This window comes from Homo sapiens, chromosome 14 (genome assembly GCF_000001405.40).
Source record: "Homo sapiens chromosome 14, GRCh38.p14 Primary Assembly".
Taxonomy (NCBI): domain Eukaryota; kingdom Metazoa; phylum Chordata; class Mammalia; order Primates; family Hominidae; genus Homo; species Homo sapiens.
In genome coordinates, this window is record NC_000014.9 from 56,381,894 (window position 1) to 56,406,814 (window position 24,921).

A 24,921-nucleotide genomic window follows, 5' to 3' on the forward strand; every position below is an offset into this window, starting at 1 on the left:
AATCACGATGTTGTGCTATCAAATACTAGGCCTTATTTATTCTAACTATATTTTTGTACCCATCAACCATCTCCTCTTTTCCTTCCTCCTCATATCCTTCCCAGACTCTGGTGACCATTATTGTACTCTCTCTCTCTCTCCAAGAGAGTAGAATGAGTTCAATTGTTTTAATTTTTAGCCCTCACAAATAAGTGAGAATATGCGGTTTGTCTTTTCAGTGACTGGCATATTCCACCTAGCATAATGGCCTCCAGTTCCATCCATGTTGCTGCAAATGACAGGATGTCATTAGTTTTTATGGCTGAATAGCACTCCATTGTGCATATGTTCCACATTTTCTTTATCCATTCATCTGTTTATGGACACAGGTTGCTTCCAAATCTTGGCTATTGTGAAAAGTACTGCAATAAACATGGGAGTGCAGATATCTCTTCAATATACTGTTTTCCCTTCTTTTGGATGTATATCTAGCAGTGGAATTGCTAGGTTATATGGTATCTCTAGTTTTAGTGTTTTGAGCAACCTCCAAACTGTTCTCCAGTGGTTGTACTTATTTACATTACTGACAGTGTACAAGTGTTCCCTTTTTTTCACCTCCTCACTGGCATTCATTATTGCCTGTCTTTTGCATAAAAGGCATTTTAACTGGGGTGGCATGATTTCTCATTGTTTTTGATTTGCATTTCTCTGACGATAAATGATGTTGAGCACCTTTTCATATACCTGTTTGCCATTTGTATGCCTTCTTCTGAGAAATTTCTGTTCAGATCTTTAGTCCATTTCCTAATCATATTATTAGATGGTTTCTTATTGAGTATTTTGAGCTCCTTATATATTCTGGTTATTAATCCCTTGCTGGATGGGTAGTTTTCAAATATTTTCTCTCATTCTGTAGGTTATCTCTTCACTTTGTTAATTGTTTCCTTCACTGTGTGGAAGCTTTTTAACATAAGGTGATCTCATTCATCCATTTTTGCTTTGGCTGCCTTTGCTTGTGGGATATTACTCAAGAAATCTTTGCCCAGTTCAATGTACTAGAGAGTTTCACCAATGTTTTCTTGTAGTAGTTTTATATTTTGAGGTCTTAGATTTAAGTCTTTAATCCATTTTAGTTTGATTTTTGTATATGACAAGAGATAGGGGACTAGTTCCATTCTTCTGCATATGGATATCCAGTTTTCCCAGCATCATTTATTGAAGAGACCATCCCTTCTCCAGCATATGTTCTTGGCACTTTTGTTGAAAATGATTTCACTATAAATGTATAAATTTATTTCTGAGTTATCTATTTTGTTCCATGGTCTATATATCTGTTTTTATGCCAGTACCATGCTGTTTTGGTAACTGTAGCTCTGTAGTATAATTTGAAGTTAGATAATGTGATTCCTCCAGTTTTGTTCTGTTTGCTCAGGATAGCTTTGGTGATTCTGGGTCTTTTGTGGTTCCATATAAATTTTAGGATTACTTTTTCTATTTCTGTGAAGAATGTCATTGGTAATTTGATAGGGATTGCATTGAATCTATAGATTGCTTTGGGTAGCATGGACATTTTTACAATATTAATTTTTCCAAACCATGAACATGAAATATCTTTTATTTTTTGTGTCCTCTTCAATCTATCATATCAATGATTTATAGTTTTCATTATAGAGATCTTTCACTGCTTAAATTTATTCCTAGGTATTTTATTTTATTTGTAGCTATTGTAATTAGGATTACATTCTTGATTTCTTTTTTAGCTTGTTAGCTGTTGGCACATAGAAATGCTACTGACTTTGTATCCTGCAACTTCACTGAATTTGTTAATCAGTTCTAATAGTTTTTTGGTGGAATCTTTAGGTTTTCCTAAATACAAGATCATATTATCGGCAAACAAGGTTAATTTGACTTCTTCCTTTCCAATTTGGAGGATCTTTATTTCTTTTTCTTTTCTGATTGCTCTAGCTAGGACTTCAGTACTATGTTGAATTGCAGTGGTGAAAGTGGGCATCCTTGTCATCTTCCAGATCTTAGAAGAAAGGTTTTTAGTTTTGCCTCCTTTAGTATGATACTAGCTGTGGGTGTGTCACATTTTATTCTTTTTTCTGTTTTTCTGTTTTATTCTGTTGGGGTATTTTCCTCCTATACCCAGTTTTTTGACTGTTTTTATCATGAAGAAATACTAATTTTATCAAATGTTTTTTCAGCATCAACTGAAATGATCGTATGGCTTTTGTCTTTCATTTTGTTGATACAATGTATCACATTGGTTGATTTGCATATGTTGAACCGTTCTTGCATTCATGGGATAAATCTCACTTGGTCATGGTGAATAATTTTTTTAATGTGTTGTTAAATTCAGTTTCCTGTTGAATTCAGTTTCCTAGTACTTGCTGAATTCAGTTTCCTAGTACTTTGTTGAGAACTTTTACATCAATGTTCATGGGGAATATTGGCTAGTAGTTTTCTTTCTTTCCTTTTTTTTGGTGTACTTTCTTTGGTTTTGATATTAGAGTAATATTGGCCTCACAGAATGAATTTGGAAGTATTCCCTACTCTTCTATTTTTTGAAATAGTTTGAATACAATTGATATTAGTTCTTCTTTAAATGTTTGTTAAAACTGAGCAGTGAAGCCATCAGGTCCTAGGATTTGCTTTGCTAAGAGATTTTTTTTATGGCTTCAGTCTCATTATTTGTTTTTGGTCTGTTCAGATTTTAGGTTTCTTCATAGTTCAATCTAGGTAGGCTGCAGGTTTCTAGGAATTTATTTACTTTATTTAGGATTTCTCATTTATTGACATATAGTTGCTCATAATAGTCTCTAATGATCCTTTCAATTTCTGTGTTTTGGTTTTAATATCTCCTTTTTCATCTGATTTTATTTATTTAGGTCTTTTTTCTTTCTTTCTTACAGTGGCCAAAGGTTTGTTGATTTTCTTTATCTTTTCAAAAAACCAACGTTTTGTTTCATTGATTGATATGATTTGGTTGTGTTTCCACCCAAATCTCAGCTTGAATTGTAACTCTCATAATCCCCATGTGTCATGGGAGGGACCCAGTGGGAGGTAATTGAATCATGGGGGCTGTTCCCCCCATCCTGTTCTTGTGATAGTGAGTTCTCATGAGATCTGATGGTTTTATAAGCATCTGGTGATTCCCCTGCTGGTACCCCTCTGTCTCCTGCTACCATGTGAAGAAGGACGTGTTTGCTTCCCCTTCCACCATGAATGTAAGTTTCCTGAGGCCTTCCCAGCCATGCAGAACTGTGAGTCAGTTAAACCTCTTTTTTCTTTTGAAATCACCCAGTCTCGGGTATGTCTTTACAGCAATGCGAGAATGGACTAATACATTAATCTTCTGTATTGTTTTCTTCATTTCAATTTTACTTACTTCTGCTCTAATCTTTGTTTCTTCCCTTCTACTAATGTTGGGTTTGGTTTGTTCTTGCTTTCCTAGTACTTTAAGTTATATCATTAGGTTATTTGAAGTTTTTCTTCTTTTTTAATATAGGTGCTTATTGCTATAAACTTTCCTCTTAGTACTGTTTTCAGTGTATCCCATAGGTTTTGATATGTTGTGTCTTTATTTTCACTTGTTTCAAGAAGATTTTCCATTTCTTAATTTCTTCATTGACCCAACGGTCATTCAGGAACATATTATTTAATTTCCATGTGTTCGTATAGTTTCAAAAATTCCTCATATTATTGATTTCTAGATTTATTCCACTGTGGTCGGAGAACATCCTTAATGTTATTTTTATTTTATTGGCTGTTTTAAGGTTTGTTTTGTGACCTAATATATGGTCTATCTTTGAGAAGGGTCTATGTGCTGAGGAAAAGAATGTGTATTCTATAGCTATTGGATGAAATGTTCTGAAAATATCTATTAGGTCTATTTGTTCTATAGAGCAGATTAAGTCCAATATTTGTTGATTTTGTGTCTGGATAATCTGTCCAATGTTGAAAGTGGAGTGTTGAAGTTTCCAGCTATTATTGTATTGGGGTTTGTCTCTTTCTTTAGCTCTAACAGTATTTGCTTTGTATATCTGAGTGCTCCAGTGTTTGATGCATATATATTTATAATTGTGATATTCTGTTGCTGAATTGACCCCTTTATCATTATATAATTACCTTCTTTGTCTCTTTTTATAGTTTTTGTTTTGAAATCTATTTAGTCTGATATAGCTTCTCCTGTTGTTGTTGTTTTTTTTTTCTTTTTTTGGTTTCCATTGGCATGAAATATTTTTTTCCATCCTTTTGTTTTCTGTTGACATGTGTCTTTATGGGTGAAGTGTATTTCTTGTAGGCAGCAGATCATTGGGTCTTGTTTTTTTATCCATTCAGCCACTCTCTGTCTTTTGATTGGAGAGTTTAGTCCATTTACATTCAATGTTATTATTACCTAAGCACTTATTTCTCCCACTTTGCTTTTATTTTCTAGTTGTTTTGTGGTCTTCTTTTCCTTTTTTTTTCCTTCCCTTCTGCCTTCCTTTAGTGAGGGTGATTTCCTCTGGTGGTATGTTTTAAATTCTTGCTTTCTATATTTTGTGTATCTGTTGTATTTATTTTATTTGATGCTTGGGAATAATATTGTATAATCCATTGTTTTATACTGACAACACTGATTACATAAACAAACAAACTTACAAACAAGCAAAGAAAACACTAACAAAAACTTGACACTTTAACTGCATCCTGCCACTTTTTAACTTTTTGTTGTTTCTGTTTATATCTTTATTATACTGTCTATGTTTTGAAAGGTTGTTATAGTCATTATTTTTGATAGGTTCATGTTTTTGTCTTTCTACTTAAGATATGAGTAGTTTACACATCAAAATTACAGTGTTATAATCTGTGTTTGTCTATGTACTTACTATTACTAGTGAGTTTTGTAGCTTCAGATGACTTCTTATTGCTCATTAATAGCCTTTTCTTTCAGGTTGAAGAACTCCCTTTAGCATTTATTGTAGGACAGGTCTGGAGCTGATGAAATCCCTCAGCTTTTGTTTGTCTGGGAAAGTCTTTATTTCTCCTTCATGCCTGAAAGATATTTTCACTGGATATACCATTCTAGGGTAAAAGTTTTTTTCCTTCAGCACCTTAAATATGCCATTCCACTCTCTCCTTGTGTGTAAGGTTTCCACTGATAAGTCTACTGACAGATGTACTGGAGTTCCTTTGTATGTGATTTGTTTCTTTTCTCTTGCTAAAAGTAGCAAGATTCCTTCTTCATCCTTGACCTTTGGGAGTTTGATTATTAAATGTCTTGATATAGTCTTTTGGGGATTAAATCTGCTTGGTGTTCTATAACCTTCTTGTACTTGAATATTGATATCTTTCTCTAGTATTGGAAAGTTCTCTGTTATTATTTCTTTGAATACAGTTTCCATACTCTCTCTCTCTCTACCTCCTCTTCAAGGCCAATAACTCTTAGATTTGTCCTTTTGAGGCTATTTTCTAGATCTTCTGGCATGCTTTATTCTTTTTTATTCTGTTTTCTTTTGTCTCCTCTGACCATGTATTTTCAAATAACTTATCTTCAAGCTTACTAATTCTTCTGCCTGATCAAGTCTGCTATTAAGGGACTCTGATGCTTTTTTCAGTACATCAATTGCATTTTTGAGCTTCATAATTTCTTCTTGATTGTTTTTATTACATAAATCTCTTTGTTATATTTATCTAATAGAACTCTGAATTCCTTCTCTGTATTATCTTGAATTTCATTGAGCATCCTCAAAACAGCTACTTTGGATTCCATATCTTAAAAGTCACGTATCTCTGTCTATCAGAGATTGACCTCCTGATGCCTTATTTAGTTTATTTGATTAGGTTATGTTTTCCTGGATGGTCTTGATGCTTGTGGATATTTATCCACATCTAGGAATTGAAGAATTAGGTATTTATTGTAGTCTTTGCAGACATGTTCATGCCTGTCCTTCTGGGGAAGGCTTTCCAAGTATTCAAAGAGACTTGGGTGTTATGATCTAAGTTTTTGGTCACTAGAGCCATATCTGGATTAGGGATTATCCCAAGCCCAACAATGCTGTGGCTCTTGCAGACTCATAGAGGTACTACTGCCTTGGTGGCCTTGGGTAAGATCTGAGAGAAATCCCTGGGTTACCAGGCAGAGATACTTTTCTCTTACTTTCCCCCAAATGAATGGAATCTCTTTCTCTACGCTGAGCTGCCTGGAGCTGGGGGAGGGGTGATGCAAACACCATCACTGGGATTGCACTGGGTCAGACCTGTAACCAGCACAGCACTGTGTCTCATCTAAGGCCCTTGGTGACCACTGCCTGGCTACAGCCTATGTTCATTCAAGGTCCAAGGGCTCTACAACCAGCAGGTGGTGAATCCAGCTAGGCTTCTGTTCTTCCCTTAGGATGGCAAGATCCCCCCCAGCCCTAGGAGGGTCCAGAGATGCCATCCCAGAACCAAGGCCTGGAGTTGGGAACTTTCAGAAGCTACCTTGTGCTCTATTTTGCTACAGCTGAGCTGGCACCCAAGCTACAAAACAAAGTGTTTCCCAGTCTTCTCTTCCTTTTCCTCAAGCAGAGGAGTTTTTCCTTGTGGCCACTACTGGCTAGGCATGTGGTAAGTACTGCCTGGCTACCACTGATATTCACTCAAATCCCAAGGGCTCTTCAGTCAACTTGTGGTAAATGCTGCCAGGCCTAGATCTCTCTTTCAGGGCAGTGGGCTCCCCTCTTGCCCAGGATGTGTCCAGAAATGTCATCCAGGAGCTAGGGCCTGGAATGGGGTCCTCATGACTCTGCCTGGTGCTCTGTTCTACTGTGGCTGGGCTGGTATCCAAGTTGTAAGACAAAGTCCTCTTTACTTTCCCCTCTTGTATCCTCAAGTATAGGGAAGGAGTTGTGAGCTGTACTGCCTGGGGTTGGGGAAGGGGTTATGCAAGCACTCTGTTAGCCCTCCCAGCTGGTGTCTCACTAGGTTGTGTGCACCCCAAGTCCAGTGGCTCTGAGCCCAGCATAGCACCAGGACTTGCCCAGGAATTGCAGTCCTCGTGGCCTAGAGTGCCTTTCAAGTTTATTTAGGATCCTAGAGTACTTTAACCTATGGTGGTGGAGCTTGCCAGAGTTCAGTTTCTGTCTGCTGGGATGGACAATTCCCCTCTGGCTAGGGCTCATCTAAATGTTCCCTCTGTGGGTGCTGGCTGAATTTTTCCTTGTTTTGTTTTCCACTGTGATAGGGCAGAAGTGAGATCCAATGCAAAGTCCCACAATCGCTGCGTAGTCCCTCCCCAAGTGCACAGATTTTCTCTCCATGCCACATGGCCACTGCTGGAGGATGGGTGGGGGGGTGACATAAGTGATTCAAGACTGTCTTTCTTACCCCCTTCTGTATCTCTTTTCTTAATATGATGTTAAATCCAGGTACTACGATTACTCCCCTAATTTTTGGTTCTTATGAAGGTGCTTTTTTGTGTGGATAGTTGTTGAATTTGGTGTTCCTGTTGCGGAGACCATCGCTGGAGGGTTCTATTCGGCCGTCTTGCTCCATCTCCTGAAGCCTGACTTTTTTGAGCATGCCCTAACAGTATGTCCATATTTGTTTAAATTGTTATGACATCTAAATAGTTTTCAACTGAGGTCAAATATTTTTAAGGATAAGCTGGTCTGTAATGACTAGAGTGGCCACATAGTTCATCACTCAAATCTGAACAGTATCAAAGGTGAAAAGAGGCACTAACTGGGTATGATGCTGGGGCCACAGATGTCAGACCGAACAATAATTTCTCCAACAAAGCAAATGAGAATCTCCTGCAAAAGTCCTGGAATCATGTCCTTTGATTTGCCTTTGGAGAGGAAAGACAAAGCAGAGTAGAGAAAGAAAAATGGAGAGGCAGGAAGAAAAAGAGAAAGGAGAAGAGGCAAAGTGAGAGGAGACAAGAAAAGGGCTGGACTCATTTTAGCATGATATCTGATTGATGAAGTCCTAGTTTCTAAAATACAACAACTGGGGCCCTCCAAGAAGACTAAGAACGGAGAATGAACCAAAGAATCGAAGGTGAGGTCTCCTGAGCTGACCCCACTGTTAATCCAGCTGCTAAGTCCACATTGTTTGATTTTTTCCTAGTGTACATTGTGGGCTGTAGCTGACCTTGGCAGGGATCACGATACTGGGGAAACACAGTAGTGTTTATGTGGCTAGAATATATGTATAGTTTTTCACCCCTCTTGTAACCCTTGATCCTTCTGTCTATGTAGGCATCACTACCTAAGGAAAGGAATAACTGGGAAGAAAGCAAATAACACAAAATGAGTCAATTAATTAGCTTTTTAGTTTTTAAAGTCTTGGCCTCAGGAGAACAGAACTGGAGTGTTTACAATAGATGTGGGAGAAGTGATGAATAATAAAAAAGAAGCTTCCTGAATCCACATGGCTCTCCCTCCTTTAGGCCAAAGTGTGCCCCAAGCTCCCTTCATCAACCAACCAGGAAAACAGAGAAAGCTTGTTCTTCCTCTGAAAACAGAAGAAAGGAGAGCTTAGATCAAGCTTGTTCAACCCGCAGCCTGCAGGTCACATGCAGCCCAAGATGGGTTTGAATGTCACCCAACACAAATTCATAAATTTTCTTAAAACTTTATGAGATTTTTTTGCAATTGTTTTAGCTCATCAGCTATTGTTAGTGTTAGTGTATTGTATGTGTGGCCCAAAACAATTTGCTTTCTTCCAATGCAGCTAAAGGAAGCCAAAAGATTGAACACCCCTGTCGTAGATGGTAATGAGTCCTGGATGAAAAAGCCTGCACCCAGCTCTCTTCCTGGTAGGTACCAGGGAGAATGTTCCACAACAGGAACTCCAGATATGTTTCGGGATTGTAGTACAGAAGAAACCTGTGTTCACCTTCTCTGGTAGACTCGAGAAAGGAGGCAAGACCCCCAAGTAAGGATGGCTGTCTACTCTGCCCTGGTAGATAAGTTTGAAAATGTCTCAGAGTAGACCTGTGAATGGTGAGGTTGGGGTACTGGGACAGTAGAATTATACTTGTGTACCCAAGGGTACCAAGGAAGTGACACATGGCTGTGGATGGTCCCACCAAGTTTTCTGTGGTCTCAGAATGGCATGGAGACATCAAGGTATTGCAACTCAAAACCAGATCCAGAGTTACTATGGTATGGTCTGACAAAGGGATGACTTGGCAATGACCAGCAGGTGTCCCTGTCCCATCTAAGTAGCTATGCTAGTGAAGAGTGCAGCCAACTTAGATGAGATGCCCTACATTCCTAACCTTCATTCAGTAGCACTGTGTAATCCTCAAACTGAGATGCAATCACAGGGGAAAGGCAGGTATCCGGAAATGACTGAAATTAAATTTCTATTGCCTGGAAGAAAAGGGGGTCATTGTAAGTATTAACTCTTTCCACACCTGGGTTTGTGAACTGAGATTTGTATATACCACATATAGAAACGTGTATACCTGCACCTCATCCTATGCCCTTACACCTCCAAGTCTAGGCAGAATGCCCCATCAGGGCAGCAAGTACCTCTAATTTTCCCTAGTGCTTTTAAACATTGTACCAATTCTGTGAATTAGTCCCTTTGTGTTGATTTTATAGTCACGACTGCCATGAAGAATTTCTCTCTCAAGTCTTTCATTATTTGTGTGTTTTATGCACCATTTCCCTCTAGAAAACAGCCATCTGCTCAGAAATCAGTATAATTGCATCACCTCCATGTTCCTTTCACTGGAGGCTTGACCTTAGATGATGTGGACTTCTAATATCTAAATGTTCTTATCCAATGAGCCATGACTCAACACAATTGGAGCGAACGTTTTAATAAGATTACCTGGAGTAGGGTGGGGGTACATCTCTCTTGGTTAGCACAACTAGAATGTGCGAAACAAAAAACAAAAAGGAGGCTCTACTGCCCTTCAAGAGAACTCTGCTGCCTTTCATGCTCTTAGAAGTCTGAACTCAGACATTCAAGTAACCTCATTCAGTATAAGTTTGATAGATGAGCACTAAGTTAGCTTCATGATTTTACAGCAGGTAAGACTTCTTTTTTTTGAGACTGAGTCTCACTCTATTGCCTAGGCTGGAGTGCAATGGCACGATCTTGGCTCCCTGCAACATCCACCTCCTGGGTTCAAGCCATTCTCCTGCCTCAGCCTCCCGAGTAGCTGGGATTACAGGCATGTGCCACCATGCTGGGCTAATTTTTGTATTTTTAGTAGAGATGGGGTTTCACCATGTTGGCCAGGCTGGTCTCGAACTCCTGACCTCACGTGGTCCACTCGCCTCAGCCTCCCAAAGTACTGGGATTATAGTCATGAGCCACTGCACCCGGCCTAGGTGAGACTTTTAAAACCCAAGCTACTTTGGGAGGCTGAGGCGAGCGGATCACGAAGTCAGGAGATCGAGACCATCCTGGCTAACACAGTGAAACCCCGTCTCTACTAAAAATACAAAAAGTTAGCCAGGTGTGGTAGTGGGCACCTGTAGTCCCAGCTACTCAGGAGGCTGAGGCAGGAGAATGGCATGAACCCGGGATGCGGAGCTTGCAGTGAGCCGAGATCACGCCACTGCATTCCAGCCTGGGTGACAGAGCAAGACTCCATCTTAAAAACAAACAAACAAACAAACAAAACCCAAGCTAACAAGTGTGTTAAAACATGTCAGTTTTTTCTATATTTTTTTGTAACTTTACAAACTTGGTGTATTTAGGTTCCCTCCCCCACTTTCTCCACAGATACTCTAAGTTGCAGGGAAGGCTGAAGCTTCTAGCAATGGGAAGGAGGAGGTGGCCTTCAGTATGGACTGGCATTCACTGAGATATTGCTTGCACCATCTGCTCTTTGGACATCACACCTTTAGCCCAGTGTCTTTGTTTCCTCTTTGGTATCAGATTAGCATGTCCATGTACTCTGTGTATCCCTCATCCCAACCAAAAGCTCCTTCAGATCCACTGGGGCCCTTTATATCACTCCCTTGATATATCCAGAAGTAAGGCAAACTTCCCTTCTGTGTGTGTGCAGGAGAGTTAGACAAATGTGAAAGCCCTCTTTGGCCCCATCGTCTCCCCTGTTTTGTTGCTGCACCGTGCTGTCTGGACTGTCTTTAAGAGAACCAGCCAGGTGAGTACTGTATTCTTAAAAATCTATTGTCTTACTGTAAAGCTACAGTAATCAAGGCAGTGTGGCATCTGGTGAAAAAAACAGACAAAGAGACAAATGAAACAGAATAGAGAGTCCAGAAACGGACCTGCATGATTGGTCACCTGATTTTTGGCAAAGTAACAAAGGCAATTCAATGGAGAAAATGTGGTGCTTTTTTGTTTTGTTTTGTTTGTTTTTTCAACAAATGTTGCTAGAACAACTGGAACATCTACATGCAAAAATAAAAATAAAAATAAAATTTAAAAAAGACCCATCTAGATAAAGCCCTTACACTCTTCACAAAAATTAACTAAAAATGGATCACAGACTTACATATAAAACACAAAACAATAAAATTCCTACAAGATACCATAAAAGAAAACCTAATTGACCTTGGGTATGGAGATGACTTTTAAGATACAAAACTACAGGCATGACACATGAAAGAAATAATTGATAAGCTGGGCTTCATTAAAATTAAAAACTTCTCCTCTGTGAAGGACAATGTCAAGGGAATGAGAAGACAAGCTACAGACTGGGAGAAAATATTTGCAAAAGAGACGTCTGATAAAGGACTATTATCCAAAATATACTAAAAACCCTTCAAGCTCAGCAAACAACCCAATTAAGAATAAGAAAACAAACAACCCAACTAAAAATGGGCAAGGCTTGGCACTGTGGCTCATGCCTGTCATCCCAGCACTTTGGGAGGCCAAGACAGGTGGATCAGTTGAGGTCAGGAGTTCAAGACCAGCCTGGCCAACATGGTGAAACCCTGTCTCTATTAAAAATACATAAATTAGCCAGGCATGGTGGGATGCACCTGTAGTCCCAGCTACTTGGGAGGCTGAGGCAGGAGAACCGCTCAAATCTAGGAGGCAGAGGTTGCAGTGAGCTGAGATAGCACCACTGCACTCCAGCCTGGGTGACAGAGTGAGACTCCATCTCAAAAAAAAAAAAAAAAAAAAAAAAAAAAGGGCAAAAGACCTAAACAGAGATCTCACCAAAAAAGGTATACATATGGCAAATAAGCATATGAAAAGATGTTCTACATCATATCTCATCAGAGAAATACAAATTAAAACAACATTGAGATATGACTGCAAACCTATTAAAATGGCCAAAATGCAAAACACTGACAACACCAAATGCTGGTGAGACAAGACAACAGAAACTCCCATTTATTGCTGGTGGAATTGCAAACTGGTACAGCCAATTTGGAAGACAGTTTGGTATTTTCTTACAAAACTAAACATAGCCGTACCGTATGATCTGACAATTATACTTATTAGTATTTACCCAAACGAATTGAAAAATTATGTCCACACAAAAATCCGCACACAGATGTTTATAGTAGCTTTACTTATAATTGTTAAAACTTAAAAGCAACCAAAACGTCCTTAAGTAGGTGAATGGATAAACTGTAGTATATCTAGACAATGGAATATTATTTACCTCTAGAAGGAAATGAGCTATCAAGCCATGAAATGACATAGAGGAATTTAAATGCATATTGCTAAATGAGAGAAGTCAATCTGAGCAGGCCACATACTGTATGATTCTAATTACAGTATATGACATTCTAGAAAAGACAAAACTATGGAGACAGTAAAAAGATTAGTGGCTGGCAGAGGTTGTGGGGAGGGAGGAGTGAATAGACAGAGCACAGAGGATTTTTAGGGCAGTGAAATTACTCTGTATGATACCAAAACGGTGGATACATGTCTTTATACATCTATCAAAACCCTTAGAACATACAACACCAGGAGTGAGCCCTAATGTAAACTGTGGACTTTGGGTGACAATCATATGTCAATGTAAGTTCATCCATTGTACCACTCTAGTGGGGGATGCCGGTAGTGGAGGAGGTTCTGTGTAAGTTGGGATAGGAGCTATGTGGGAACCCTATACTTTCTGCTTGATGTTGCTGTGAACCTAAAACTGCTCTAAAACACAAAGCTTATTAATTAAAAAAAAAAAATCTATTGTCTGGCCCAGAAACTTGGCTCTGGCTTGAGTAATGAAAAAATCTCTTCCTTCAAGGCTATTGTTTCTGCTACATGTTTAGAATATGTATTTAGCAATTCCAAGTAGAGAGTCGACCTTCTGACCTTTCCTGCTATCTCTGTGATCTCTTGTATCAGAGGTTCCAACGTGAAAAACTATATGACCCAAATATGCATCCGCAATATATTTTTATGTTTGAGTTCATTTTTTATATTTTAAATCCAAGATGTTTCTTTTCCAATAAGAGGAGCCAGAGCTTCTTGGAGAAGTTGCTGATTCCAGGGCTAGGGCGAGGAAAGCAGAAGATGAGCCTCTGAAACATGTTGCCATCCCAGAAAATAAGGAAGTGCTCAAAATAGGATGAGGCATGACAAAAGCACATCACAGCCAAGCCAATTGGAAGGCACTCCCAATGGGCAAATCGAGAACAATTTGAGCAACAAAATAACAATAATAATAATGGATTGTAACCCATAAAATAAAATAAATATCCATACTAATATAAATAATTGAATAAATAAATAAACAGGGGAAAGGGATAGGACAGCTTTTCCTTACAGAGGAATTCTAATTAATAAATGTAGAATGAATGCAGGAAATACATCACCACTAGGCAGATATTACATTAAACAGTAATCATTGTAGGCAAGATCCACTGACAGATGTTAAAATCAGTGGACTAAAGTTTAATAGGAAACAGGATACTTGTAGCTTCAAAGTATTGTCCCCAAACTATTGGTTTATTAGGTAAAAAAAAAAAAAATGAAAACTTTACAATGGAAAAACATGGCAGACACCATCTTAACTGAATGATCAAAGTAAGCATCACCACTGATAGGACATATTGACATCATGTACCCCCCAATATGATGCACTGAGATGGGCACAGCATCACTTTTGTGGTATTTTTGCAAAAAAATGCAAAAATCTCAACTTAATCATGAGAAAATAGAAACACTCTACAAAATAATTGACAAGTAGTCATCTAAAATGTTAAAGTCTAACATTTAAGTCTTTAATTCATCTTGAATTAATTTTTGTATAAGGTGTAAGGAAGGGATCCAGTTTCAGCTTTCTACATATGGCTAGCCAGTTTTCCCAGCACCATTTATTAAATAGGGAATCCTTTCCCCATTTCTTGTTTTTGTTAGGTTTGTCAAAGATCAGATAGTTGTAGATATGTGGCATTATTTCTGAGGGCTCTGTTCTGTTCCGTTGGTCTATATCTCTGTTTTGGTACAAGTACCATGCTGTTTTGGTTACTGTAGCCTTGTAGTATAGTTTGAAGTCAGGTAGCATGATGCCTCCAGCTTTGTTCTTTTGGCTTAGGATTGACTTGGCAATGCGGGCTCCTTTTTGGTTCCATATGAACTTTAAAGTAGTTTTTTTCCAATTCCATGAAGAAAGTCATTTGTAGCTTGATGGGGATGGCATTGAATCTATAAATTACCTTGGGCCATAAATACCCTAGAAGAAAACCTAGGCAATACCATTCAGGACATAGGCATGAGCAAGGACTTCATGTCTAAAACACCAAAAGCAATGGCAACCAAAGCCAAAATTGACAAATGGGATCTAATTAAACTAAAGAACTTCTGCACAGCAAAAGAAACTACCATCAGAGTAAACAGGCAACCTACAGAATGAGAGAAAGTTTTTGCAATCTACTCATCTGACAAAGGGCTAATATCCAGAATCTACAATGAACTCAAACAAATTTACAAGAAAAAAACAAACAACCCCATCAACAAGTGGGCGAAGGATATGAACAGACACTTCTCAAAAGAAGACATTTATGCAGCCAAAAGACACATGAAAAAATGCTCATCATCACTGGCCATCAAAGAAATGCAAATCAAAACCACAATGAGATACCATCTCACACCAGTTAGAATGGCAATCATTAAAAAGTCAGGAAACAACAGGTGCTGGAGAGGATGTGGAGAAATAGGAACACTTTTACACTGTTGGTGGGACTGTAAACTAGTTCAACCATTGTGGAAGTCAGTGTGGTGATTCCTCAGGGATCTAGAACTAGAAATACCATTTGACCCAGCCATCCCATTACTGGGTATATACCCAAAGGATTATAAATCATGCTGCTATGAAGACACATGCACATGTATGTTTATTGCAGCACTATTCACAATAGCAAAGACTTGGAACCAACCCAAATGTCCACCGATAGACTGGATTAAGCAAATGTGGCACATATACACCATGGACTACTATGCAGCCATAAAGAATGATGAGTTCATGTCCTTTGTAGGGACATGGATGAAGCTGGAAACCATCATTCTCAGCAAACTATCGCAAGGACAAAAAACCAAACACTGCATGTTCTCACTCATAGGTGGGAATTGAACAATGAGAACACATGGACACAGGAAGGGGAACATCACACACTGGGGCCTGTTGTGGCGTGGGGGAAGCGGGGAGGGACAGCGTTAGGAGATATACCTAAGGTTAAATGATGAGTTAATGGGTACAGCACACCAACATGGCACATGTATACATATGTAACAAACCTGCACGTTGTGCACATGTACCCTAAAACTTAAAGTATAATAAAAAAAAATTAAAAACAAAATAAAATGTTAAAGTCATGAAAGACAAGGAAAGACCGAAACTAAAGAAATACAACAATTAGGCCGGGCATGGTGGCTCACGCCTGTAATCCCGGCACTTTGGGAGGCCGAGGCGGGCGGATCCTGAGGTCAGGAGTTTGAGACCAGCCTGGCCAACACAGTGTAACCCTGTCTCTACTAAAAATACAAAAATTAGCTGGGCATGGTGGTGGGCGTCTGTAGTCCCAGCTACTCAGTAGGCTGAAGCAGGGGAATCGCTTGAACCCAGAAGGCGAGGTTGCAGTGAGCCAAGATCATGCCACTGCACTCCAGCCTGGGCAATAGAGTGAGACTCTGTCAGAAAACCAAACAAAACAAAAAAAAGAAATACAACACTAAAAGCAATGTGGGATCCTGGACTGGATCCTGGAACAGAAAAAGAACCTTAGGGGAAAACTGATGAAATTTGAATAAGCACTGCAGTTTAATTCTTTATAGCAATGTTAACTCATAGTTCTGAGAATTATACTATGGGTATGAAAGCTGACAATATTAGGGAAAGCTGGGTGGAGAGTATACATGAACTTTCTGCAGTATTTTCCCAGTTTTTCTACAAGTCTAAAATTGTTTAAAAATAAAAAGTAAAAAAAAAAAATCAAGATATTTCACACATGTAGAATCTGGATTTTCATGTTATCTGGAAAAATCGAAAGATCCTTACATGATTATTGGTCATGGAGAAGTAGTAACTAATTCCTTCACAGTAGGGCATGTTTTTTTCGGTTTGCCACAATCCCTTCCCCTTCTATTGTACCACATGGGGCCATGTTTTATTTATTTATTGTGCTATAAAGCCTGGTTCCAAGAAGCATTTGGTTTGGGGATCCCTTGCTCAGTAAAAATACAATGTTCCAGGCCAAATGATCTACCTGTTGTTTTCTAAACAAGCTTTGTCTTAACCCTTCCATATTCCCACTTTTGCACAAGCTGTTCCTTCTGAGTGGATTTTCTGCCTGTATCCTCAATCTTATTATTTTAGTCTTCCCTATCCTTCAAAACCTAATATGCAGACCACTTCCTCTATGAAGGCTGTGTCTATCCATTGAGTTCATCTCTCCCCCCTTTGAATTAGAGCATCTGATATTCCTTGGAAAATGGTACCAACTTTCATTCATTATGTACTGAATAGTAGCTATGTGTCAGGCACACTTTCCTAAGTGCTGGTGACACCCAGATGAGCAATATGTCATCTTTGCTCATCAATGATCTTTCAGGCCTGGAGGAAGGCAGACAAGAAAACCAGCATTAGAATTTATGTGAGATGCATTATGATAAAACTATGTGTAAAATTCTAAGAGTGCTCAGAGGAGAGGACTTCTTAAGGGGTGAACCACTTAAGTTGATTCTTAAAAGAAAGTGAGAAATTAGGTAGGAAGTGCTAAGGACTGGGAATTAGGGAAGAACCTTTAGATGAGGAAACAATTTAATCAAAGGCCTGGAAGCCTGAGAGGGTAACTGCAAGCAGCTTGGAGAGCATGTGTTTGGCAGGTGAGGCTGAACAGGTAGGAGCACACAGCTTTGTGCAGTAGCCAGATTTATATGTAACATCACTCTCACTCAACTATTAACTCCTTGAGGGTAAAAAATTGGAGACAGAAGGAAAGAACATTAAACTTCAAGTTAAAAGATCTCACCTCTCTCTGCTATTTACTAGAGTTTATGCCATTAATAGTTAAGGAGTGTCTACTTATAAGCTGTGTGATCTTGGGCAAGTTACTTAATATGTCTGTGCCTCAATTCTTTCATTTATAAAATACTACCAGCTGCACAGAGCATCGAGAGAAATAGTAATGATAACCATAATCACCATAGACACCAACCAGAATGGAGGCTGGACCAGTGAGAAATGGACACTGGCTATAAAAATCCTCTAAGTGCAAATGGTGTATTTGCTGATCATCAGCCACAGGTGCAAGGAATTAATAAGCTGATCTGTGTAAACAGCACGCACGGTGCCTGGCACAGAGTGTGCAATTAATAAGAGTTAGTTACTAGAACCATGTGCTACACACCAGTGTATTTTCTATCTTATTTGAGTGCTAATTCTTACAACAATTCTGAGACAGATGTTGTTCTTTCAAATTTAATGTTTGAAGAGAGTGAAGTTGAGAGAGGTTCAGAAACCTGTCCAAGGCCACACAGCTAATAATGATCAGAGGTGAGATCTGAAATTCCAAGTATTGTGGTTAGTACCAGCTACAAAATTTTCAGGACCAAGTGCAAAACGAGTATGTGGCCCCTTGTTCGAAATTATTGAGAATCTCAAGACGATGTGAAGGGTATCAGTACCAAAATGGAGTCACTTATGTCAACCTAAAACCACAGAGAGAATGGCTCTCCAAAGAAATGAATTTCTTTGGAAATAAACTAACAAAAATGACAGCAGAACATTAAGACAAGTATGTGATCCTTCCAAGTCTGGGAACTTTCTAAACATGGGACCCTGTGTGGTTGCATAGGTTGTACTCCTGTGAAACTAGCCCTGATTGTTTTATTTGCAAACTACCAGAGTGTGCTGAAAAGAAAACCAGCATGAAGGAAAACCTGAGCATTACTCTCAGGAATAAAATTAAATATGGGACAAATGTACGCCCATCGATGCTTCATAATGTCTTTGTAATGTGCTAATACCTTCTAATGAGTACAGAGGTCATTAGTAAAGGAAATAAGTCAAGAAATTAAAAAAACCCATCCAAGCATGATCTGCTGGTATGTGCAATGCAAATGGACTTTACAACACAATGTGAGTTTATTTAATTATTTTGTGTTTTTTTCCATATTCCAGGAAGTTTAATAATGGTCTGGATTAAAGAACACTAAAGATCTTTATATATCACACTTAGGTTAGTTTAAATTCAGCTGCTTCTTGAAATCCTGAATTTAACAGGAACAAATGTATCCCAATTACCACATTAGCTAATACTCTGGAAAAACAAGCTCAGCAAGGAAACAATTTCAACTTTGCTTAAGTAAGAAGATAAAGCAAAAGTACAGGAAAGGATGTCTGTTGAGTCATGAACTTACCTTCTCAGCTTAGTTCCCTGTGTTCTTTCCCAGAGCTTGCTGAAAAACAGCCTCTCTCCCGTGTTACAGAGAAGCCTGACTATAGAGAAGGAAGGCTTTTCTGTCAACTCCTTCCACTTTTAGACAGTCAGATGCTGAATCCATTTTCTCAGTTATGAGCATTTATCTGGAGATGCTCACACACTTCAAAAATAGCATCTTCATTTAACAAATGGGAAAACTGAGGCACCCTGGTGAACCCTCCTACACTACCCTGTAGTGCAAGCTTTAAGCACTATTTTACTTCTTTTTAGACGGAATTTTTCTCAGTTCTATGGTGAGGCTGAATCAATAGATCAACAAGCACTTATCTGACACTTACTAAATTTCCTTTTATAAATGTAGCGAAGAATACAGTGGGACTCACCATTGGAAGGAAGGGATTTTAAGCCTTCCTGCACAGAGACCTCTTGGGCCCTATGGGTGATAAAATGGTAAAGGCCCCTGACCTATTAAGCTGGAGGCCTTCTCAACCCCTTTAGGATGCTAAAGAATTCTAAAGAATTCACCCTAAAGTAGAAGGTCATTGAAAGTGTGTGGTGGCCAGGCATGGTGGCTCATGGCTGTAATCCCAACAATTTGGGAGGCTGAGGAGGGCTGATCCTTTGAGCTCAGGAGTTCAAGACCAGTCTGGGCAACATGGCGAAACCCTGTCTCTATAAAAATACAAAGTTAGCTGGGTGTGGTGGCATGTGCCTGTAGTCTTGGCTACTTGGGAGGCTGAGGCAGGAAGATCGCTTGAGCCCAGGAGGCGGAGGTTGCAGTGAGCTGAGATCATGCCACTGCACTCCTGCCTTTGGCAACAGAGTGAAGCCCTGTCTTGATTTAAAAAAAAAAAAAAGTGTGTGGTAAAGGATGACATGAAACAGAGAGTTTGATACCAGGGAAATTTATCCACAGGGCATCTAACTTAAGCCCTCAAAAACTTGGAGTAAATTTCTCTTTCAAAGAAGTATTCACCTCAGAAGGGAATAGGCTCTACTTTGTATAGGCCAGGACATTAGGTACAGGCTAAAGGAGACATCACACTAAGTCAGGACATGTCTTTTCCATTTTGAGTAAACAAAACTATATCACAGAAGAGTAGGCAAACTCCATGGTAGGTGACTTGCAGTAGATGGGAGAAGGGCCTTCAGGGAAATAGTCACATTGGCTGCCAGGGTAGCCTAGGATGGATGTCTGGGGAATTTCTGCCCTGATCTGCACGCATGAAGGCTATGTCAGAGAGCAGGACGTGGTGGAGATGGGATGTGTGGCAGAGTCTAAGTGCACAAATACCCATCCTGCTTTCTTTCTTTTAGTAATAGAACTAGGAATATGCCAGTCATTGGAGACTACATTTCCCATCCTCTCCTTTTTCTTTCTCTCATTGTATGAGGGAGTTAGGTAGCGGTATTTTCTCCTCCCAGATTACAGCTTTATATTGAAATATAATTCACAGGAACAAATTTAAAGTTTAACAAATTGTTAAATTGTTTAAATTTGTTAAAACAAATTTAAAGTGTAAAGTCACTCATTTAAATTATACAATTCAAACACGTTTAGTATATTCACAGAGGTGTAGAGCCAATAATACAATCACTTTCAGAACATCTTCATCACCTAAAAAAGAAACTCTACACCCAATAGCAGTCCCTCTCCACCTCTCTCCAAATCTACCTTAGCCCTAGGCAACCACTAATTTACTTTCTGTCTCCATGGATTTGCCTATCCTGGTCATTTCACATAAATAAAATTATACAATATGTATCTTTCTAATTGGTTTCATTCACTTAGTGCATGTCTTCATGGTTCATTTATGCTATAGTATAAATCAGTACTTCATTCTTTTTTATGACTAAATAATATTCCATTGTGTGGATATAACATATTTTAACATTTATCCATTCAGCAGTTGATGGACACTTAAGTTGTTTCAAATTTTTGGTTATTATAGGTAATGGTGCTCTGAACATTTATCTACAAATTTTTGTGTGAATATATGTTTTTATTTTTCCTGGGTATATACATATACCTAGGAGTAGAGTTGTGGGGTTATATGGTAACTCTAGGTTTAACCATTTGAGGAACTGCCAAACTGTTTTCCAAAGTGCCTTCACCATTTTGTATTCCCAATTTCTCCCCTTTTTTTTTCTTTTTTTTAAGATGGCATCTTGCTGTGTTGCCAGGCTGGAGTGCAGTGGTGTGATCTCAGCTCACTGCAACCTCTGCCTCCTGGGTTCAAGTGATTCTCCTGCATCAGGCTCCCAAGTAGCTGGGACTACAGGCATGCTCCACCACACCCGGCTAATTTTTGTACTTTTAATAGAGGCGAGGTTCCACCATGTTGGCCAGGATGGTCTTGATCTCCTGACCTCATGATCAGCCCACCTCGGCCTCCCAAAGTGCTAGAATTACAAGTGTGAGCCACCATGCTGGCCAATTTCTCCACATTCTTACCAACACTTGTTATTATCTTTTTTAGGATGGCCATTTTAGTGGGTATGAGATGGTATCTCACTGTATATTTTATTTGCATTTCACTGATGGCTAATGATGTTGACTATCTTTACTTGTGCTTATTAGCCATTTCTTTATCTTCTTTGGAGAAATGTCTATTCAAGTACTTTGACCAATTTTGAGTTATATCTCTTTATTATTGCATTGTAAGGCTTCCTGATAGATCATGGATATATGATCTTCAAATATTCCCTTCCATTCTATGCATTATCTTTTCACTTTCTGTTTTAAATTTTAGATTCGGGGGTACATGTGCAGGTTTGTTACATGAGTTAGCTGCATGATGCTGAGGCTGGGCTTCTAATGATCCCGTCACCCAAGTAGTGAACATGGTACCCAATAGGTAGTTTTTCAGCCCTTCCCTTCCTCCTTCCTTCCCTTCCTGCTTTTGGAGTCTCCAGTGTCTAACCGCACCTTTGTGTCCATGTGTATCCAATGCTTAGCTCCCACTTCCAAGTGTGAATATAAGGTATTTGGTTTTCTGTTACTTAGGATTTGCTTAGGATAATGGCTTCTAGCTACATCCATGTCTTGGCAAAGGACATGATTTTGTTCTTTTATGGCTGTGTAGTATTCCATGGCGTATAAGTACCACATTTTCTTTATCTAATCCACTGCTGATGGGCACCTGGGTTGATTCTATGTCTTTGCTATTGTCTTTTCACTTTCTTTTTTAATTATTATTTCAATAGGTTTTGGGAGAACAAGTGGTACTTGATTACATGGATGAGTTCTTTACTGGTGGTTTCTGAGATTTTGGTGCACTCATTACCTGAGCAGTGTACACTGTAACCAATGTGTGGTCTTCTATCATTTGCCCCCCTCCCACCCTTCCCCTCGAGTCTCCAAAGTCCATTTGTATCATTCTTATGCCTTTGTATCCTCATAGCTTAGCTCCCACTTATAAGTGAGAACATGTGATGCTTGGTTTTTCATTCCTGAGTTACTTCGCTTAGGAATAGTGGTCTCCGATTCCATCCAGGTTACTGTGAATGTCATTATTTCATTCCTTTTTATGGCTTAGTAGCAGTCCATAGTGTATATGTGCCACATTTTCTTTATCCACTCGTTGATTGATGGGCCTTTGGGCTGGTTCCATATTTTTGCAGTTGCAAATTGTCCTGATATAAACATGCATGTGCAAGTGTCTTTTTTCATATAATAACATCTTTTCCTCCAGGTAGATAGCCAGTAGTGGGATTGCTGGATCAAATGGTAGATCTACTTTTAGTTATTTAAGTAATATCCACACTGTTTGCTATAGTGGTTGTACTAGCTTACATTCCTACCAGCAGTGTAAAAGTGTTCCCTTTTCACCACATCCATGCCAAAATCTATTATTTTTTTATTTTTAAATTATGGCCATTTTTGCAGGAGTAAGGTGGTATTGCATTGTAGTTTTGATTTGCATTTCCCTGATAATTAGTGATGTTCAACATTTTTGAATGTATTTGTTGGCCACTTGCATACCTTCCTTTTTTTTTTTTTTTTTTTTTTTTGAGACAGAATCTTACTATGTCACCCAGACTGGAGTGCAGTGGTGCAATCTTGGCTCACTGCAACCTCCGCCTCCAAGGTTCAAGTGATTCTCATGCCTCAGCCTCCTGAATAGCTGGGATTACAGGCATGCACCACCATACCTGGCTAAGTTTTGTATTTTTTAGTAAAAACAGGGTTTCACCATGTTGGCCAGGCTCATCTTGAACTCCTGGCCTCAAGCGTTCCACCCACATTGGCCTCCCAAAGTGCTGGGATTACAGGTATGAGCTGCCATGGTCCAGCCTTGTATATCTTTTTTTTTTAGAATTGCCTATTCATGTCCTTAGCCCACTCATTGATAGGATTATTTGGTTTCTTTCTTGCTGATTTGTTTGAATTCCTTGTAGATTCTATATTGGTCCTTTGTTGCATGCATAGTTTGTGAAGATTTTCTCCCAGTGGGTCCCTCCCACACACATGGGAATGGTAGGAGCTATAGTTAAAGATGAGATTTGGGTGGGGACACAGCCAAACCTATATTATTAACCTTGAATGTAAATGGGCTAAATATCCCAATTAAAAGACAGAGTGGCAAGTTTGATAAAAAGGCAATACCTAACTGTATGATGCCTTAAGAGACCTATCTCACATTCATGATAATCATAGGTTCAGAATAAAGGAACAGAGAGAAATCTACCAAGCAAGTGGAAAACAGAAAATAACAGGGATTGATGTTGTAATTTCCGACAAAACAGACTTCAAGCCAACAATGATTGAAAAAGACAAAGAGGGGTATTACATAACGGTAAAGGGTTCAATTCAACAAAAATACCTAACTATCCTAAATATATATCCATCCAACAAGGGGGAAACCAGATTCATAAAGCAAGTTCTTAGAGACCAGCAAAGAGGCTTAGATAGCTACACAATAATAGTGGGAGACTTTAACACCCTACTGACAATATTAGACAGATCTCCGAGGCAGAAAACTCACAAAGATATTTGGGACCTTTATTTGTCCATTCTCACACTGCTATGAAGAAATACCTGAGACTGGGTAATTTATATAGAAAAGAGGTTTAATTGGCTCACGGTTCTGCAAGCTGTACAGGAAGCGTGGCTGGGTAGGCCTCAGGAAACTTGTGGCAAAAGGCAAAAGGGATGCAGGCATGTCTTACACAGCCAGAGCAGGAGGAAGAGTTGAGTGCAGTGCGCTACACTTCTAAACAACTAGATCTCATGGTAACTGACACACTAACATGAGAACAGTACCAAAGGGGAAACCCACCCCCATGATCACCCAATCATCTCCCACCAGGCTCCACCTCTAACATTGGGCATTATAATTTGAAATGAGATTTGGGTGGGGACACAGACCCAAACCATATCAGAACCTAACAGACATCTACAGAACTCTCCACCCCTCCAAAAAATATAGATTTTTCTCATCTGCATATGGCACATACTCTAAAATCAACCAAACAACAAGCAGCCATAAAATAATTCTCAGCAAATTAAAAAAAAAAACAAAATCATACCAACCATACCCTCAGACTACAGTGCAATAGAAATAGAAATTAATACTAAGAAAATCACTCTAAGCCATACAATTACATGGAAGTTAAACAACCTGCTCCTGAATGACTTTTGGGAAAACAATGAAACTAAGGCAGAAATCAAGAAATTGAAACTAATGAGAACAAAGATAAAACATACCATAACCTCAGGACATAGCTAAAGTAGTGTTAAAAGGTAGAGTTGATGGTGAAAAGTTAGAGGACCAGATGCAGTGGCTCACACCTGTAATCCCAACACTTTGGGAGACCAAGGCAGGTGGATTGCTTTGAGCCCAGGAGTTCAAGACCAGCCTGGGCAACATAGTGAAACCCCATCTCTACAAAATATTAGCTGGGCACAGTGGCTCATCCTGTATTCCCAGCTACTTGGGAGGTTTAGGTGGGAGGATTACTTGATTCCAGGAAGCAGAAGTTGCAGTGAGCTGAGATCATACCACTGCACTCCAGCCTGGATGACAGAGTAAGACCCTGTCTCCAAAAAAAAAAAAAAAAAAAAAAAAAAAATCTCAAATTAGCAACCTAACATCACACCAAGAGAAACTAGGAAAACAAGAGCAAACCAACCCCA

The 24,921-nt window shown here is 39.1% G+C and overlaps 1 long non-coding RNA gene across 2 annotated transcripts in view; it reads left to right on the forward strand.

Moving 5' to 3' along the window:
* The window catches only part of LINC02284 (long intergenic non-protein coding RNA 2284), a 116,044-nt gene that overhangs the window by 70,905 nt on the left and 20,218 nt on the right, over nucleotides 1-24,921 (forward strand). The window contains exons 6-7 of one of the 2 annotated variants that reach the window (NR_187175.1): nucleotides 8,683-8,767; nucleotides 10,696-11,407. The exons of the other annotated variant lie outside the window; for it this stretch is intronic. This is a non-coding gene — a long non-coding RNA (long intergenic non-protein coding RNA 2284). Of the gene's footprint in view, nucleotides 1-8,682; nucleotides 8,768-10,695; nucleotides 11,408-24,921 lie in introns of those variants that run through there. 2 annotated transcript variants of the gene reach the window in all.